Genomic DNA, 20,237 nt, shown 5'->3' on the forward strand with positions numbered 1-20,237 from the left:
ACACTGGTGTGATCACGGCTCACTGCAGCCTCAACCTCCTAGGCTCAAGCAATCCTCCCAGCTTACCCTCCCGAGTATCTGGGACTACAGGCACACATTAGCAACACCTGGTTAATTTTTTATTTTTTTTGTAGAGACAGGGTCTTCCCATGTTGCCCAGGCTGGTCTTGAACTCCTGGGCCTGAGCTATCCTCCTGCCATGACCTCCCAAATTGCTAGGATTACAGGCACGAGCCACCATGCCCAGCCTAAATTTACCTATAATTATACACATTTCATAAAAATACGTAACCCTAATTTCATCACAAACAAAACTTTTCAACACTCATAGCACAAATATTTTTTTGAGAGCTGGCTCTGGGCCAGAGAGTGGAGGCACAGCAGTGGAGATGCAGAAAAGGTGTGAGCCACAGGCAGCTCCTGTTCTAGTGGTGGCGGTGAATGCTGACCTCAGGCACAGAGAAATCTGCAGTATGATGTCAGGTGGTGACTGGTGATACAACGAAAACTAATACAGGAAAAAGGATAGAGAAAGTCTTGGGGGCAATATTTTATATGAAATGACCAGGGAGGGCCTCTTTGAGAAGGTGACGTTTAAGCAGAGATATCAGAGGAAGTCAAGAAATGTCTAGGGAAGAAAGTTCTGGGCAGAAGGAACAAGTGCAAAGCCCTAACACCGGAAGATGCTAGGGATGTTTAGGAGTGACAAGGGGACCACTGTGGTTGGCATAGAATAAGCAAGGAGAAGGGGGTAGGGAATAATGTTGGGGGTAGGGAATAATGTCAGAGGAAACTGGATCCTGGCAGGCCATGGAAAGCAATGGTGATTTCATTCTAAGTCTGATGGGAAAGCAAGGGGGGCTCTGAGCAGGGGAATGCCATGATCTGACTTACATTTTAAAGGGTTTGTGACCTTGTCGAGTGTAGACTGGAGTTGGTGGCCACAGTGGCAACGAGGAAACCTGCTGGGAGGCTGGAGAGATGAGGGTGGCTTGCTCAGGGTAGAAGCAGTGGGGGATGAATGTGGCCCGTTTCTGGATGTGTTCTGATAGTAGAAGCAAGAGGATGGAAAGGATGTAGGGGATGAGAGGGGAGAGTGATCAGGGTTGACTCCACCATGTCTTGTCTAAGAGACCAAGTAGACAGTGGCACTATTTACTGAGGTGGGTGCTGGAGATCTGGGGGAAGACGTCACAAGTTTGGTTTTGAATATGCTGCCTGGGAGATGCTTTCTGACCTCCAAGTGCAGAGGTCTCAGTGGCAGCTGAGTGTCAGGGGAGAGGTGGTCTGGAGTGTAAGTTTGGGATTCAGCAGAGTATTTAGAACCATGAAATGGGCTAAGGTCACCGGGGGAGTGAGTGTGGACAGAGAAAAGGACTTAGACCAAGGGAGCCATTAAAAAAAAAAAAAAAAAAAGATCTGGCTACCTGTAAATATCATTACATTAGTCAGACTGCCATGTGCTGTAAGAGAGGGCAGGTATTGTAGTGTGATGGGGGTCGGAGGAGGAGGAAGATTCTTTGAAAGATGGAGTTGGGCTCGGGACTGGGGGTGGTTAAGATCTGGACATGGCAACATTTTAGTTTCCAAAAGTCAGGGCTGGGGCTGGGGCTAGGTCAGCCCCTGGCTTAGGGTAGTTGAGAAAGCACAGGTTTAGAGTCTTATGGGTCTTAATTCCCAACCTTGCAGCCACTTCTTAGGTGCGAGTTCTGGAAGAGGTGACTCACCTTCAAAAGCTCAGTGTCCATGTCTATAAAACAGGGTCAGTAGCACTGACCTCACTGGAGAAGTGCATGAGACAATTTATGTACAGTGCCCTGCATGAGAACACCAGAAAAATGAGGCCCTAAGATAATGGATATTAATGGGTATTAATGGATGTTTCATACCAGCCTTTGCATGGGAAATGTGAACTTGAGTGCCAAGTTTGTGAATCAAGATCTTACTTTAAGTCAGAGATATGTCACTTTTGAGAATCTTTCATGGAGAATCCCTTGATAAAATGTACCACCCCATAGTGGTGGGTGCTGGATGCTGACTTGGTTCTCTCTGGGCTCCAGAATCTGGACTCTGATGATCTACCCAGTTAAGTTATATCCACATAACAAAATTTGCAGGCTAAAAAAAAAAACAACTCAGAACTTTCATCTGGGGAGTGTTTGAGCCATACCCTAGAATGAAAATTATACACAGCTTACTATGTACTTAACACAATCATATTTAATTGCTCTGACGTGCCCCATCAGTGGCTTCTGAGATGGGTCTCCAATACCTCCTTACAAATGAACTGGAAAGAATGATTGCCATGGTACCTGAGGGCAGAATCCCAGTGACGGTCTGGTTTGAATTCCTTTTCTCCTTGCCCCGCCTGGTTGCTACTTGTGTGGCCTACTCCAGTGGCCTGGTTTCCAAATGTAGCCCGCTATTGATCCAGTTGGACTCATTGGGGCACCAAGAGAAAATAACTTTAATTTTTTTCCAACTCCCACTGCCCTTTTGACTGGCTATATGGCAGACCACGTCCCCATCCCTGGAGGGCCTCTCATGTAGATTCAATAGCTTTCCTTGTCACTATCAGGGACACTATCTCCTTTTCATCTACAAAAAACTCTCATCTGATCAAAATCAATCTGAATTTTTCACCAAATTCAAAGTGTTTGTTTCCCCTTAGCTCAGGGAAAGCCCAAGCCTCTTGTCCCCTCTGGAGGCTGCTTCTGGCTCCTGCAAGGATGGGTGGGAGGTGAAATGAAAGGAAAGGAGGACATTGGTGCCCTCTGTGTGGAGACATCCAAATGCCAGCTCTTTCCCTGACTAGGGGCTTATATGTGGGTTTTTTCAGAGCCACTGTGCTCTTCCTTGGTGTGGGCAAAGCTCTCCCTGGCTGGTGTCTTCCAACCCCCTTGCAGCTTCTGCTCTGACAGTCCACTCCTCATACCCTGAGGATGGCTGGCTTCAATCTGGCCCATTGGTTGGCTGGTTGGGGAAAGGTGAGAGGGTGGGGGCATATGAGGTTCCAAATCAGTTTTGCTATCCCTCAGCAAGTCCTGCATGAGTGGACTGGCTGCCTTCTTCTGAATGGGAACATACTATCTTCAGCTTTGGAGCCTCAGATGTGACTTCCAGATACCAGGAAAAGTTCCAAGTAATATTCTGTTATATAACATATTAACTTTCTCAACTCAAATGCTCAACTTTTATCTTCAGCATAGAAGAATGGTTAAGTCTGCAGTTCTGGAGTCTGACATTGGCTGGGTGACCATGAGCAAATCATTTAACCGTTCTGGATCTCAGTTTCCTGATCTGTAAAGCAGAGGCAATGGCCTTCACTCTCAAGTATGTTGTTTAGATTGATTTGTTCTTCAGGTGCCAGGTGGCACATAGCAAGCCCTCAATAAACGGAAGCCCTTATTTGTATGTTTCTGAGGAGTCTTCATTTCCTCCAACCTAGACTGGATGTCAGTGCTTCTTGCTAATCCAGGTACCATTCCCTCCTGCCATTTGCCTGGCCTGCATGGCTGTCTTTGATAATAACACTTAGTGTATCTCGAGCATCACTATCTTATTTGCATCTCACAACAACCTTGCAGGATACATATTATCATCATTCCCATTTACAGATAACAAAACTGAGATTCAGGAGGAGGTTGAGTCACTTGCACAGGGGCAAACAGCTTGTAAATAGCAGAACTGGGGTTTGCCCCCAGACCTGTCTGATCTCAGAACCTGCCTGTTCTACCACTCGTTTTATCTCCTTAATTATCTGTCCTGTCTCTTTGTGCCCTCTGCCAAGAGTAACTCTTCTGCACTCTATGGACATAATAGCGGATCCTTTGAATGAAATCACTTCCTGCTTGGAGCGCACCCTGAAAATGGATCCCTCACTGCCCAGTAAAATGATACTTCCTGTGTTACATAATAACAAATTCCCAAAGCAGATTTGTAGAGGTAATATTGACTCCATCCACTTCCTGTGTATGGTTATTCAAGTTATATAAAGTTGCATTCTCATGAAAAGCATCCGGTTACTGTTGGTTCAGTACCTACCTGGTGTCCAATGCTGGATTAGCCAAGAAGGGAAAGGTGTTTTCTGATCTTAAGCCTAGAATCTATTTTGAGTGTAAGACAGGTAAAAAAAATTACTGCCAGTGCCAAGATGTTTGTAGTAAATACCTGTGAGGGGTCACCAGAAGTAAGTACCATAGGAACTTAAAGGTGGGAAAAATCAAGTGGCTGGGTGGGTGGGGAGGGGTAGGGAGGAAGTCACAAAAGGCTTCCCGGAAGATCTGGAGCTGGGGCTGAGCGTTGAAGGCCAGGTAGAATGTGCAGAGGTGAAGGTGAGAAAGACATGTTTGGTGTGTTTGCAGCAAAGGAGCAGGGGCCCAAAGAGGCAGGAACCCAGCATGGGTGCAGAGACTCATTTTTCCAAAACAGTCTCTCTTTTACAACCATGAGCCTCTTTGCTCCCTGCGTGGAGATTTTTATGACCCCATCCATCTGTTTGCAGTCAGCCTTAGGTTTGCTTTGAAATTCAAAAGCTGAAAGGGAAGTGTTATATTGAAGCCAGAGCAGCAGGCTGGGCAGCTTTCTCAGAGGAGGAGGGAGCGGCCTCATGGAGCATTAACCACTGCAGGCAAACACCTCTTCTTGTTGGCCTGAGTCCCTGTGAAGTATGGGACCAGGAGCGCTCAAAGGGGCGGTGGATGACCAGCCAGGGAGGAGCTTCCAGCACGGGTCTGAGCTGACGGCTTCATGCTCACCAGTAGGCAGGCCGTGAGCGTGCACGGCCAAGCATGGAGATTCAGGAGACCTTCAGCTGGGGCTTCGTGCCCGCTCCGGATCCGTCCGGCCTGTGTTTATTTCTCTTTCCTGCTCTGGCAGACGGGCCTGGGCCCGCTGGGAGAGTTGGCTCAGCCCTCCCTGGCTCCTGAATTCCCTAGCCCAGCTACCACCCCCTGCATTCCTTAGGAGCCTCAGTGTCCCAGAGAGACACGATTTTTTCCATCTTCTTGAATAAAAGACTTTTAGGGACAGTCATTGATCAAATCCAAAATCCACAGTCCGGGCTTCCAAGTCCTGCTCCAGACCCTCTACTTCTCTCAGTTCCATGTGCTCTAAGACCACACCCTCGCTAACATGCTTTGCCCAGCGCCTCCTCTAGCACGTCTCTCCATGCCCTCCTTCTCTGTCATTCATACAGCCACCAATGGTCTACGGCCCCCACCCCCCTCTTGAAAGTCCTGCTGGATGGCTCCGTCTTACCCAGCCTGTCCACGCTCCACACTGCCACAGCTGTCTTCCCTGCCTCCCCTTCTGAGTACCCCCTGAGCCCACTCTCTGTGCCCCGCCCACCACTAACTCTGGCTGCACCTTCGTGCCTCTGCCCGAATGTGTGTGGAACGCTCCTAACGTGGATTTGGAGCTTCTCTTCATGTCCTGGAGACCTTAAAGGGCCCCTTCGAAAGAGGATCAAGCTGCCAGGCTGGAAGCTGCTAAGGGCAGCAACTAGTTGTTGGGCTTTAGCATTTGATGCAAATTAATTTTTTAGAAGGGGTGGCTTTAAAATTTGGGAGTTTTATTAAGAGGTTAGAGGGTAGAGAAAGATCTTGGAATCCTAACCTATCAAACTTAGAAGGCTCTTCAAAGATCATCTGCTCTAATTGCTGCATTTTTTTGAATAGGGAAACTGAAGCTCAGTAAGGAGATGCCATTGGCCTAATGTTATTTATGAAGTCAGTGGCAAAGCAGGAATGGAACTCTCTTTGGGTCCTGAATTAGTCAAAATCTTCCACTCACAGCACCTGGGGTTCTTGAGCGAAGCTTGAAGCATTGTGGAAATTCAGGGGCACATGCTTCTTCCCTCTTTCAAGAACCATGATAACATGCATTGAAGTTGATTTTGCAGATATAAAGCACTTCAGGCCTGTTGTCTCAGGTCATCGCCATTATAGCTCTATAAAGTAAGTCATATTTATCTCCATTTCCCAGATAAGGCTAATAATACCAGGGTTAAGTGACATGCCCAAGGAAAAATAACCAGTAGGTAGCCAAAGAGGGTCTTGGGCTCAGGCCTGTTGCTATGTGCAATGTGTCACTCTACCTCCTATTCCTCGAAAGGTGCTCCACTCTTTTAGAAAATCATGCAGAAAAGGCTGCAGTAGAAAATAGAATAGCTCCAGGATCCAGGGACTGGTACAACAGCTCAGGACATTTCATTTCTCGTAGTGGAAAGAAACATCTAGAACAGGGGCTCTTTATCCTTTCAGACCCAGGATCCCATTTTATCACAAATACTTTAAAGTGTCCCTTCTGTACTGAAATGAAACTTATGAATAATATAACACACCTACACATATGATTTTTTAAAAATTAATTCAGTGCCCTAACTATAAGGAAAAAGAAATAGTAGCTTATAATAAAATAATATGTAATTTGGTTTGTCCACACTTGGGTACATCAACACTTGTAGACATAATGTAATAGTCAAAGCTTGTACCTAACTGTTGAGTCACCCTGAAAGTGACAGCTAAAATACCAAGGAGTACAGCTGTGTGTCTCTCTGACACCCGGAATACACAGGCATTGTTGTTAGTAAGGTGGCACTCAAAAATAGTGAACAACTCTTGGTAAAGTTCAGAACAAAATGAAGCACATTCTTCTCTCAATATACATGGCAATTACATTCCTGTAAGATTTAGTGCACATTAAACCTTTACAAACAAATACTACGTGTTTACGTAAAATGGATTCAGGTTCTAGGCTCAGATAATTACAAATGATTTTTTTTTCTCCCCTAATGAATGTTTGGCAAAACATGCAAAAATTTTGCAGGATGGGGGATAATTCTTTATGTGGGGCTCTTAGCAGGTCACTAAGTGTCGCTAGCCCTTGACCACAACTACCCCCGCACCACCCCGCCCCTGCAACAGCTGTATGAAAGCCAAAAACTCCCCGACGAATTCCCAAAGCATCCTATGGGTGTTGATACTACCCCTGCTGAAAAACACTAATTTGGAGATTTTCTCTGAGAAGCCAGGCATGAAAGAGGGAAGGCTCAGACCTCTATTGTACCTAGATGTTTGGATTTCTCTCAGTTTTGCTTTTGATGAACATAATTTAATACTAACCTTGGATGATGCTTAGTCTTCAGACTTAAAATTAATGCAATAAATGTTGACCACGTGTCCTCTATTTTAAAGACTATTCATCCAGGGGATGGAAAAATGAATATGACCTGGGCTCTGCATGCACGGCTTTCCCTTTATCATATTCTAAGGGTGATAAGCCATACGAAACCCATCATCTAAGACTGGATGCATACAAAGGCTGGGGCTTCAGGAGAGGTGGAAGTGTGAGCCCGGGGGACCAGAGCACGCTTCTACGAGGAAGCACAAATTAAGTGAGGCCTTGAATACCAGGAAAGAAGTTTTCAGGTGAAAATAGGGGGAATGAGCAGCTAGCTGTGGAAGGGACAGTGGGGATGGAGATGGAGTTGGGAAATTGCAGATACGTTCAGGGAGCCCGAGTAGCTCTCTATGGCTGGAGCATGGTTTTAGGGGAGGGGAGGAGACACATGTCTGGAGAGATTCGTTGGGCAAACTGTAGAGGGCCTGTGAGGGAGCACTGCTGGGAGGGGAAGGGAGGGGGAGAGGAAGCAAATGCACATTCCATATTAATTTTAACTTCTTGAGGAAGGTCCCCAGTACTATGGTAACCATCACATACTTGATGGATGCTACTCAGTGTCTGCCTCCCCCACCGAGCTGCAGGCTCTGCATTTCTCTAGTTGGGCCTGGCACCCTGCAGGCTCAGGTTTGGGATGTGGAAGGCTTTTGGACCCAAGGTGAACTGGACTCTTTGGGCCAGTTCTCTGTATCTAGGTGAGCCAGTGTGCTGAGGCCAGAAGGGGGGCCTGGGAGTCTGGACTCCTGGGTTGGCCTCCGACTCGCACATGCCAAGAGGCCTTGGGTGGGTCCATCTCTTGGTGTTCCCCTTATCTGTTCAGTGAGGGGCCTGAGCCCACAGAAGAATCATGTCCCCTCCAGCTCCCACTTTCCTGCCTTGTTCCGTCAGGTCACCTGTTTAGAGCCTGAGGTCACGACCTGAGTAGCACTGCCCCCTGGTGGCAGCTGCTGGATGGCAGGAGAGACAGTAGCACCTTCCAAGTCCAATCCCCCTACCAGTACCACCTTCCAAGTCCAAGCAGAGGTTGGCCCAAGCTTCAGTGTCTGTCTTTGGGTATGGCTCCAGAGCAGAGGGGTGGGCAACTCAGCAGAGTCAGTCCCTTCCCAGGGGACTCCCAGTAGTGCTTCCAGTGCCCTCCCATGACCACCCACCATCACTGAGGAAAGTCCCTGGGACCACATGACTTCATGGGTCATTCTGTCCCTGGGATCGGGCAAGGGGCATAGGGGGAGGTGGGGCTCAGGAAATACCGTCCTCCCTCATCTTCATCATCATCACCACCACAAAGCTCTTGGAGTCTACGAGCACAGGCAAACCTGCCTTATCCTAAATCCTCACGGTATCTCTGTGGGGTGAGGCTATCCTCTCCCATTTTATTGATGGGAAAACTGAGATTCAATGGGAGGAGGAGATGGCCCCAGGGCATCAGGCTTTTCCTCGACCTCTATGCCACTCCTCTGTTCTTAAGCTGCCTGGGGCTCCTGCTGCCCACCGGGTGGTGTCCTCATGCCTTGACCTGTGAGTCACAGCCTCTAAAGCCTGATTCCACCAGCTCCAGAGAGTATCCCCTCTGCTGCCACTTGGAGCCTGGGCACTCTGAGGCCAGCCCTCCACCTGTGCTGCTGGTCTCTGCTGCCTGTGGGGGTGGCAGTAACAGCTAACACGTGCTCTGGGCCTTGGTTTCCAAAGCTTTCTTACATCCACCATCTCATTAAAACCTCACTGCAGCCTGTGCCAGAATTAGTTTTATTAAACTCACCATAGAGATGAGAAAAACGAGGCTGAGAGAAGGGAGGGACTACCTGGCGCAAAAGCAGGTCCAGGACTCTGGCTCCCCCTGACCATAAGCCCAAGACCCCGACTGAGCCGGGACAACCTCTGGGACGGGGTGAAGGGTGAGAGGCTGAATGCGGGGAGACTGGCTGGCCCTGGAAGCAATCTGTGTTTTCAGGTCTCCCCGGGAGCAGGAAGACTGCTGGACCCAGGAGCTGTCTCCAGTGGCCCGTCTGTCTTGGCCCCTCAAGCCAGGCCCCAGCCTGTGCTGTGGATCTGAACCAGGCCTCCTCCCTCTTGCTGAGACCCTGCTGTGTTCTGACTCCAGCCAGTCCTGCCTCTCTCTGTTTCCACCCATGCTCGTCTGTGTTTTTCTGCCTCCCCATCCAGGCTTCTTCCGATGACTCCCTTTCATTCTCCCCCTTTCTCTCTGCCTCTCTCTGCTTCTCTGTTGCTGTCTCCTACTGTGTCTTCACTCTCTCTCCATCCATCTTTCTATGTGTTTTTGTCTCTTTTGCTTATCTTCTCCTTCACTCTTCGTCCCCACCCTTGGTCACCATCCTGCTCAGCCCCCTTGTCCCCCTCTTGGGTCTCAGGGCAGCAGAGGTGAGGGAACACTGGGAAGGGATGTCTGGGGACCTGCAAGTCCCCAACCCTTCCTTGCCTGGGAACTTGTGTCTTCAGGTTGGGAATTTTATCACTGTTTTTTTGTGGCTGATCAGGGAGGAAGAAATGAAAACTAAGAAAAAACAAAACAACAACAACAAAACAAACCAGGAACTGTTTTGCAAGCCCAGAACCAACTGATATGAAACAAGATTTTACGAATATTTTCTGAAAATAATTTCATTTTGCGATACCGTAACAGTGGCCAGCCCAGCTCCCCTGGCTGGCGGCTGCTATGAGCAGCAGCTGGAGCCCCTACCTCCTCCCCTCCAAGCCCAGCCCATCCCAGCCTTCATTCTGTCCTGCTGGCTAGGCCAGGGTGCTCCCTCTGCTGCAGCACCCCTAGAAGGTAGTTGTGAGGTGGGGGGTTTCTTGCCTGCCTGAGAGAGCCCTGCAGCTCCCAAGTCCCTTACCTCATGAAAGCCCAAGGCTGGCAGGTCTAAACTTGTTATTCCCAGCTACCTGTAACCCAGTATTGCTACTGCAAAGTACCTGGTTAAGACACTCTTGGCACCCTACTCTGTGGCTGAGGTTCCAAGCCCTCCCAGAGTGCATGGGCTCCCTGGGGCTCACACACTTGTGATCTTGGTCTCCAGCTTGCAGCCTCTGCTTTACCCCATGTCTACTTGGGGGCAATCAGCCCCTTCCATGGTACCACCCCGCTCCGTCCCAAATCTTCACAGGCCATGAGGACCTAGTGGAGACTGGCAGAGCAGATGGGGGTGGGGTTCTTATGGCCACTGTGAAAATGACTGCTGTTGGCAGGTTTTCTCCCCATCAACGAGATGTTCCTCCTCCTTCACTTTCTCTCCATTTGCCTAGCTCCTGACTTCTCATCCTTCTCTCTTGATTTCCTCTGTCTCCTGCTCTCCTTTTCAGGAGTAAAATGATAAAATTCCTACCCCAGTCATAAAGAATACCTTCTCTCTACCTCCTTTGAGGTGGGAGACAGTGGTTTTCCTTCCTACCTCAAGCCCTGATAGAAGCAGTCTTTCAAAGAAAGATGCTGCTCTTTCTAAAAGGAATTTTAGTGACTACAATTTGCTCCACTTTTTGCTCTTTCTATGCAGATAAGGAGACAGAGGTCCAAGAATGGCAGAGCTTGCCCAAGGTCACACAGCGGGCCAGCTGAGCTGGGACTGAAACCCAGCACCCGTTGTCCTCATCTCAAGAGTCCGGCTGCTGCAGGACATCATTGTCCGATGGTTCCTCTGAAGGGCTAGGCTGTTGAACCCTAGATGTTCAGGGACAGAAAGGCCTCAGAGAATGCAGAAAGATGGAGAGGGAGTGAAGACCTGCTGCCGTACGGAGAACAGTGTGTCAGGAGCTCTGAGGAATCCCTCGCCCCTCCCTCAGCCACCCATTGCGTCATGTCTGAGAGCCTATTTCTGGGCCACGGCCTCTCCAGGGAGTAAGTGAGCTGGGCACTACCGCCCCTAAGAAAGGACAAGACCTCATTCGCTCACCGAACTTCTGGGTGGATGGATGACAGCAGCCTCCTTCCTGTGTGTGAGGGGCAGAGAGGACAGGGGTCACAGCCACAGCAGGAATCCTCACACCATTGACGTCAGCTCTTAAGACCATCATCGGGTGTGGTGGGGAGTGGGGCAGGGCTTCTCTGGATCTCTGCCCAGAGTCTGATGAGTGGGACAGAGGTCTGGGCAGGCTCCTGGACATGGAAGAGGCTCACTGTGTTGGGCCTCAGTCGCTTCCTGACTTTGTCCCCCGCCTGTGAAATGTGGATGCTGGATGCATCCTCGCCCACCTCGCAGGCCGCAGCCCACACCTGACATCGCGGAATTGCCGGATAAAAATGAGAATAGGCCTGGAGCTGGACTACTTGGGTTCCCAGCCTGGCTTCAGCATTTATAAACTGTGTTGGGTTACTTAACCTTCCTGTGTCTCAGTTGCTTCATCAGTAGACGGAGATAAGGAAGAGCAGCCACGTGAGTGAAATGATTTAGTATTTATAAATGCCTAGAACATTGTCTCATGCATCATAAATGCTCAACAAATGTTAGCTTCCAGTTGCATTCTTGTCACCCTATGTGCAGGTGAGGCCACTGTGTGGAGTCCATATTCCTCTTAGTAGGAACCAAAAGAACTCAGTAACCATGGGCAATAAATCACCTCTGGTAGAGGCTTCTGGGGCTTTAGAATAGAGTCCTCTTCCTCTCTAAACTTCTCAGTGACCTGTCCCTCCTTCCCCGCAATTCCAGTGACTAAGTCTCTCCCGGTGAAACTTGCTGCAGGAATACCTTGTGTGGTTCCCAGTCAGCTGACACTGGACGGTATGTTGTGCTGTGATAGAACAGATATGACATGTTGTATTTGAAGTCTTCCCTTCTTTCTTTCCTCTTTGTTTACTCCATCATTCTTCCACAAGTCCCCACTATATATAGTGTCTATATGGCATACATAAACGACTGTGCTGAGGCTGACTTCACAGAGAGGCAACCCGTGGCCCTGGCACGAGGAAGCCAAGGGGCAGAGTGGGCACTACAGATCATCTCAGCACAACCTTAAGTGCTCCGAGGAACAGCGAGCTGTAGGATCAGAGGGGAGGCATGGCTTGGGGAGTTGGGGAAGTCTCTGTGCAACAGATACCACTGGAGCTGGGTTGTGCAGGATGTGTAGGAGTTCAACAGAGCAATGGGTGAGGCATAAAGAGGAAAGACTGGCAGTGCTGTGGAAACAGCAAGTGCAGAGGTGGCGGGTGGTGAAGCGGGGGATGGAGTTAGAAAACACTGAGGCTGGCAGTAACTCTGGAGTGTGGAATGCTGGGGGAAGACTTGGCAAGGCGCGGCTTTCTTGTAGGAGGCATGGGCAGGGACCAGATCTTAGAGGGCCTTGTGTAACCTTTGTCAACCTCGAGGAGACACTGAAGAATTTTCAAAGCAGGGGAGATATGTGGTCATTTTTGTTGGTTGACAGCGCTCTCTGGCTGCCGAAGGAAGAGTGGACTGGAGGGGCCTGGCTAGGTGGCAGGGGCTCAGGTAAAAGGTCTGGACCAGGGTGGAGCAATGGGGATGAGGGAGTGTGTAGGAAGAGCTGATCGGGAAGAATCAGTAGGTCTTGGTGAGTGAGAAAGGCAAAAAAAAAGGGAGACTGCAAGCCTGAGCCCCAGATTTGAGCTGTGTTTAAAGTCCCCGAGCAGCTCCTTCTCCACATCGTTGGGCAGCTCAATCTGGCTGGGGAGAGGGTATCTGGACCTCATTTGGCATGAGGCCTCTCAAGCCATTGGGTTCCTGCTGAAACCATCCTCCCAAAGTCTGCCCGATTCTGTGCATGAAAACCGGGCTCATTCCAACTCCTCTGCTTCACTGCAGGCCTTGGCCCTCACAGCAAAGGCAATTTTCCTGAACGTTCCCTGGCAGGAAGAGAGGAGCTGTCACACAGAAACACTAAGCCATTGAATTCATAATATCTTTTATTAATATATTATGCTACAAAAATATTTTTGGCAAAATAACATTAATAGCATCTTTCTTTGTCTTCTATTTATACTCTTAAAGGACTCTTCATGATAATTCACAGAGGTGAGGGGCAGAGGTGATAAGAGAACAACATCATGAATACCTTTCAAATACATGAATCTGAAGCCTGTGTTGCACAGTGAATCAACTCGGGGACAAGCTCTGTGAGGCTCAAGAATGGGGCAGGGGCTCTGGCTTCCTCTGTTCTGGGCTAGAGCCTCCTTTGGCTGAATCAGCCCCTGCCCACCCCAGCCACTGGGGACCCAAGATGTCTGAGAGCCCTTTGTCCCTGGCAGCTCACCGGAAACATCTTAGACTTGGATCCCGTTCAAAGCCCACTTTCCCCACAGCAGGACTGGGATGAAGGGGGCCTTGGAGGCATGCTACTCTGTCACCTTTCCCACCTCCACATGCTTTCAATCCCATGGCAGCCTGTGGGTCCTGGGAAGAAAGCCAAGCACCTCATCTCCATGGAGGCCCAAGATTGTCCATGTCACCCCTGCCCTCCAGCCCTAGAACTGCCCAGGCAGGAATCAAGGTCTTCATTTGACAGATGAGGAAGTGAAGGCTCAGAGAGGGACAGGAACTTGCCCAAGGTCATCCAGCAAAGTGAAGGAGTATCCAGAGTATCTCCGGAAAGGAAGAGCCCAGCTCCCACTTGGAGAAAGGGTGAGGATAGCCGATGCTCCCTGGAAAGAGCCAAGTAGGGGGTCAATCAGTTCTCGTGAACCCTTTCCTCCCCTGGGGTCAGGGAGTGGGGCAGAGCGGGAAGGAGCTCTGGGCTGGGCTGCAGGCCTGGGTTCCAGTTCACTCCTCCTCCACCTTTCAGAAGTTCCCCCACCCAAAGGCAGCAGTCAAGCCCAGCTGGGTCATTGAAGGGGGCGCTGTGAGGGGTGGTGGTGGTTGTGGGTGGAGTGGGGAGGCTGGACTTATTCCTGAACCTTACTGGTTTAGACAGCCAGCGGGGTGATTTTTTTTGGCTGCTCAGATGAATTTCTGGAAAAATAACAATGTTCATAGAACTTGATCATTGCAGAGCCAGGAGGGACCCTCAATGTCATCTACACCAGGCCCTTGGCAAGATGTCAACTCTCCTACCACTTCTTCAGCCAGTGGGCACACTGCCCCTGCTCAAACACCTCTCCCGATGGGAAACCTGCCACCCTTGGGGGCTCCGGGCCATCCCCAGACAGCTTTGGCTTGGTGGAAATTATGCCACTGGTGGAACTAAGGTCTGCCTCTCTCCTTCTTTTCTGCCTTCATTCCTTTCTTCCTCCCCTTCCTTCAGCTTCCTTCCCTTCCTTTCTCTCTCTACACATCTGTTGAGCACCACCTTTGTGTCAGATGAGGGTACAAAAACAAATTTACATGACCCCTGCCATTAAGCTGCTCACAGTCCGAGAGGAGCAGATACACACTAGATAGTCACAACACTGGGCAGTGGGTATTGTGATAGATGCTAAGAAAGCACAAAGGAATGGGAGGGGGCTTCCTGGAGGAAGTGCTATCTGTGTTGATCCTCAATGGATGAGCAGTTACAGGGGAGAGAAGGGAGTTTCCAGGGGTAGGGAGCAGCATGTGTGAAACATCCTGTCTATTCTAGAGATGACTGCACATCACGCTGGCCAGGCACAGGGTAAGAGACATGAGAGACGTGGCTGGTCAGCAGGGTTGGGTCACGAAGGGTCTAGCGGACACTTCAGGGTGAGGCTGAGGACTCTGGTTCTTATCTCACAGTCACTGAAAAACTATCACCAGCCCCAATTCTGCTGTCTGCCACACAGGATGCCATCAAAGCTGCAATTCCCTGGAGAACTTCTCTTGTCCTTCACAGCATTTTCAATAGACTTTCCTTTTGGTAGAAGGACTTTCCCTCCTCTTTGGGATCCACTGTGACAATGGCCCTGGGCTGGAGATTAGGCAAGTGGGACAAGGGGCCTGAGCACCTAGGCTTGTCCAGGTCTAGCCGAGGCCAGGAAGTTGTAGATAACACATTATTTAGCATGAAGAAAATATGCTTAGGGTCTTTCAATGCAAGGACAAATTTGTTCATAACCAGCACAAGGTTCCATGCTTCCTAGATCCCAGATCTTTGACTCTCAGGACTGGAGGCATCCTCAGCAGCCCTTTGCAGCTCCCTGGCAGCCTGATTCTTCTCCCTCCACTGTGGATGACAGGGCTCTCCCTGTCTTCATCTGGCTGCTGGTGCATCAGACCCACCACTGGAGGAAGACCTGGGGACATGGCCATTCCAACATGCCCCAGAGAGCCCTTCATCACACAGTCAGCTTTCGTGAGAGGTAGAGGACCCAGGGCCACAATAACATGCTGCCCGACCTTAAGCAGATCACTTTACCTGCTGGGTCTCAGACCTTTCATCTTTCCTGCCTGCCTCACAGTCAAACAGAAAAGTCTAAGAAGTGCACACAAATTTCTCAGAGCAACAGGAGCATTTTATGAGGCTGGGCACAAAGAACGTTTCTGGAAGAAATGTCAGTTAGTGGTGGATAGATCGTGTCAAAGGTGTGGGTTGCTGCTTATGGAATGGTGGTTCTCTGGCCCAGGATGAGAGAATTCAAGTGCCCCAGACATGCAGATTCCTGCATATGTGCCTCAAGTCTTTTGGGTCATAAGTCAGCAAGTTGAGTTCATTTCAGACCCTGGCCAGCTGGTGGTCCTCAGAGATCAGTGAACTTTGGCAACAGATGTCTGACCACATTGGCTCTTGCTCTCCTGTAGGTACATGTCTACTCCATCGGTTAGTCTAGCCATCTTTCTTTAAACACTTGAATTAGGGTAAGGGAGAGTTTAGGATCCCCTAATATGCCCAGAGGAGGGATCTGGGAAAGACTAAGGCTGAATCTTCCTGAAGTTAGGGGCCAGGACGACGTAATCTAGCATTGCACTGCTTGTCCCATCTTGATAATGAGTTCCTCTGGGCCAAGGAGAGTGGTTAGATTCAGCTCTAATACAGAGCCTGGCATTGCATGTGCTCAGTAATTACAAGCTGCATTAATTTACCTTCTTGGCTCAGTGCCTGGCACAGATCTGGGCACACGGTCAGGTGCCTGGACTGTTTACCCAAATGCTTCATCTTTAATTAACCTCAAGCTCCATCTCAATACGTCTCACGCCATACTCTGCCCCAAACAGAGAGGAATCTGGCCTGTGTGCTTCTAATTCCTTTACACTTATCTCATCCAAATAGTGCACTGCACGATCCGTTTGATGTCCAACTTCTGAGCCTGCTTTATAAGTCAGCTAAGCCCCTTCCCGCTCAGAAATAGGAAGTCACATTTTTGCCAAGGATAAACCAACTCCAGCCTGGATTGAGGTCAAGTTCAGTTTAGAGCATGGTGCCCACAGGGCTGGCTGGGCCCTCTAAGGCAGAGCTCCAGTCTCCTGCCAGGTCTCAAGCTCAAACACGTCCATCAGGGCTGAGCTGTAAAGAATTCAGCTGCCTGCCAAGATGCCCGTGGGACTCCTGACCATCCCATGAGCTGCCCAGAACTTGCCGTCTCAGAAGGGAGATAGCTGCCAAGCTGGGCAAGATGGCACTGGGGCCAATTAGCTGCCATCAAGCCTGCCAGGGAAACCCACGAAGCTATAAAGTTGGGGTGCACTGGGCTGGGAGTCAGCAGGCCCACCCGGCTGTGCAGCCTTGGAGAAGTGTCTCCTCTCTGTGGGCCTTATTATTCCTCCTACTGTTACTATTATCCATCAAGTGAAGGGTCCTTTCTGCTGTCAGGTTCCAGGACTCTGTAATTACTGAGGCACCTGCCCCATAGGGTTTCAGGCCTCCCAGGTGGGAGTTAGCCCACCTGGGTCCTCTGTCTCCTCAACCACCACCTTGAGGAGCCGAGGGGCTAAAGTCTCTCGGAGTCCCTGTCACCTGCCTCCCCACTTGGCTGCTGTGCCTCCCCAGGTGCCCCACAGCTGTGCCCACCTCTCAGCCTTTGATTTGGCAGGAAAGCTTCTCGTGGGCTCCAAGATCTGGCAAGTCAGGACATGCGACACATGGCACATGCAGTTGCCAGAGCCCTTTGGCCAGAGGGGTCAACATAAGCAGCCGGCCAAAAGGTTTCTTGGTGGAGTGAAAGCTTGTGCTGGCCCCAGTTTGGGTGAGATCTGCTCCCTTGCAGAGAGAACGTGGCAGAACAGGGAACAGGAGGCAGGAATTGTTTTGCATCACACTGATCTGGGGCCACATCCTGGCTGGGGGATCTTCAGCAAGTCCCTTCGCCTCTTTGGGGGGCTCAGTTTCCTCATCTGTGAAATGGGGATAGTCACATCTCACAGAACTAGCGCAAGAATCAGTGAAGCAAGTGTGCAAAGTGCTTGCCACGCTGCAGGCTTTGGAAAAATGGCAGCTCTCATTACTATTAACATCATGTGAGGCCTAAGCCCCTGTCTCTAAAACTGCCCTCCTGTGCCCACTCCAGTCCCTCGGCCCAGCTCAATCCATTTAGCCAGGACTTCAACAGCCTCTCCTTTAACCCAAGCTGGATTCATGACACCAGAACAGAGAGGTCTGGATTTATGTCCTCACTCTCCCACTTGCCGTGTGACCTTGGGCTACCCACCTGGTTCTCTCTGGATCTCAGTTTATTCATTTGTTCTGTGGGGTGGGGACTGCTTTCCTCAGCACCAGTATCCCACCTCCCACCCCACCCCAGCGCTTTGGTTGAAAACACTTACCAAGAGCTCTGGAGGGCCAGATAGACACTCAGGGGTTTCACAATAGCAGCATTCTCTTTCCTAAATTATCTTCCCAGGCCGCGGGTGCATCCAGCAGAGGGGAGGATGGCCAACGTTCACACCTCTGGCTCCCAAATCCAGCTTCACAAAGGCTAAGCCTGCCTGCCTGCCCCTCCTGCTGAGGGCCCCACAGTCGGAGAAGCCAAACCCAGACCCAGGAGGCTTCGGTGATCCAAGAGCAAGCCAGTCCAGAGCCACAGTCCACAGGAGGTCACTGATGTCCCGGGTTCCCCTCCCGGGCCAGCACTAGGGCTAGGGGGTTATAACACAGGCCACATAAGAATAGTTTTATCGGTAGAATAAATACATTTTTCTTTTTTAATATGGACACGTATTTTACAAAAGAGCCCCATAGCACTATGGGAAATTAAGATCCTTCTACAAAAAAGAAGATGTAACTTGGGTACAGTAAAGCTCTAGAGTGTCTAGCCAATCCCATGTGGACTGCCCTCGACGTGTTGGGCACCCCCTGGAGGTGGTGGCAGGAGCAGTTGGGTGTGGCCGAAGACCCCTGTGTCATTTCTCTGGCTTCTCCACTTGGGGTGGCCGAGGTCAGGAGGGCCCAAGGCTATGCAGCAGGAAGCAGACAGCGATGGTGGTGGCGATGGCGGGGAGAAGGCCCAGGGTGGGTGCCGAGCTGCTGGCGGGCCCTGGCGGGTCCTGCTGTTGTAGCTGGTCTGAAAGCTGGAAGGGGGGCTTGGCGGTCCCCGAGCTGTGGGTGGGCTGCAGGGGCAGCGGGGGTGGTGAGGCGGTGGTGCTGGAAAGGAGGAAGCACATGGCAGAGTCACCATCGGCAGCCTCGTCCTGGGCAGAAGCCTTGGGGCTCAGATCTGATTTTTTCAGGTCTATTTTGCCTAATACAATGGAGAAGGGAACAAGGAGCTTGAGCAGGCAAACCGGGCAGCCCAGAGCCACACAACCAGCCTGGCTGAGCTCCAGAGTCCACACGGACCCCCTTTGCCGGGCTCTGGGGGATGGGCCAGGCCCTGGCAGCCACAGGTTGTCACATCTCAGCCACTCAGATGTCACCACTCGAGAGAATGGGTCCCAGGCAGAAAGAATAGTGTTTTGGGGAGATAGATCTGGGGTACCATGGGGTGGTCAGTCATCGACGTACACAGGTGCCCTGCCTGCTGGCTGCTCTCCCCTTGCAGACCGCCAAAACACGCAGAAAACAAGACAAGCAACCCCACCGCGTTCCCTGCCATTATCATAACTACCGCTTGTTGAGCATCCATCATGAGCTCAGCACTTTCCAAGCAATATTTCTGATCCTCATAACAAGCCTTCAAAATGGGTCTCATTGCTCCCTTTCCATGAATGAGAAAACTGAGGCTCAGAGAGGCTGTGTGGTGGCTGGCGGGGAGGCTACCTGGTGGTCAGGTCCCAGAGGAAAGTGGGAGTGGGACGCCATGAAGCAGGAGCCCTGGGTCTGCCTTACTTTGCACAGTTGCAGGATATGTTTAGTGAGAGGTGCAGTCTTTCACGAATTTACAAAAACAGAATCTAGTTTTGGAAATAACAGGTGAGATTCTTGGCTCAAGAAAGCCCACGTGACAGAGAGAGATGGAAGGAGAGTCAGGGCAGGAGCCAACTGGAAGCTGACCTGAGCCCAGCACACGGTGGCCTTGGGAAGCTGGAGGCGGGGGCAGGGGGTACTCAGGGCCAGGTTACTGGCTCAGGTCCAGGAAAGAGACATAGGAAATGGACAGGCAGAGAGAGACAGAGGCTAACACAGGGACTGAGGAGGGAGTGCACAACTACAGAGGCCTAGCAGAGAGGTCAGGAGGCTGACAGGAGACCTGTGGACGAGAGGGACAGGCTCTGGGATAGAGAAACAGGCTGGGCCCTGAAGTAATGGCCATGCCTATCCTCGAGGAACCCTGAGCAGGCAGGAGGCAGACAGAGATGCAGATGCAGACAGAGGAGCCCACAAGCCCCGTCACCCAGAGGGGAGCACCGGGGGGCAGCAGGTAGATGAAGGGAAGGCCATGAGGGCCTCCCGGAAGCAGGGAGGCCACAGTCAGCCTGAAAGGCATAGTGAATTTAGTTTGAGCATGGGGAGGGCACTCCTGGACGGTGAAAAAAGAACGTACAGAGCCCTGCCCCTGCACCAGGCTCTGTGTGAAGCACTGGCCACTCTTTAACCTTTGGACCTCATGACAACACTGGGAGGCAGGGATGACTGCTGTCCCCATTGTACTTAGGAAGAAACTGAGGCACAAAGCGGTTAAGTGGCTTTCCTCCAAGACACAAAACAGGGCCAGGATCTGAACTGGGCACACAGTAGGTGCTCAATAGCAGATGGGTGGGCAAGAAGCTTGCCCTTCCCTTTGGGCTGGCCAGCCTAGAGGGTAGGCTGTAGAAACAGGGCAGGGCAGG

General features: G+C 50.7%; 1 protein-coding gene across 9 annotated transcripts in view; it reads right to left on the reverse strand.

The window, feature by feature from the left end:
• Positions 1-13,033: 13,033 nt before the first annotated feature.
• TRABD2B (TraB domain containing 2B) overlaps positions 13,034-20,237 on the reverse strand; it is a 236,858-nt gene continuing 229,654 nt past the window's right edge. For 8 of the 9 annotated variants that reach the window (XM_024446935.2, XM_024446933.2, XM_017001261.3 and 5 more), the window contains one exon: positions 13,034-18,612. In XM_024446935.2, coding sequence (XP_024302703.1) covers positions 18,408-18,612 — 205 coding nt within the window. In that variant the 3' untranslated portion in view covers positions 13,034-18,407. The remainder of the gene's footprint in view (positions 18,613-20,237) is intronic. The other variant, XM_017001262.3, reaches the window with a different exon arrangement.

The sequence above is a fragment of the Homo sapiens genome, chromosome 1 (assembly GCF_000001405.40).
Source record: "Homo sapiens chromosome 1, GRCh38.p14 Primary Assembly".
Lineage (NCBI taxonomy): Eukaryota > Metazoa > Chordata > Mammalia > Primates > Hominidae > Homo > Homo sapiens.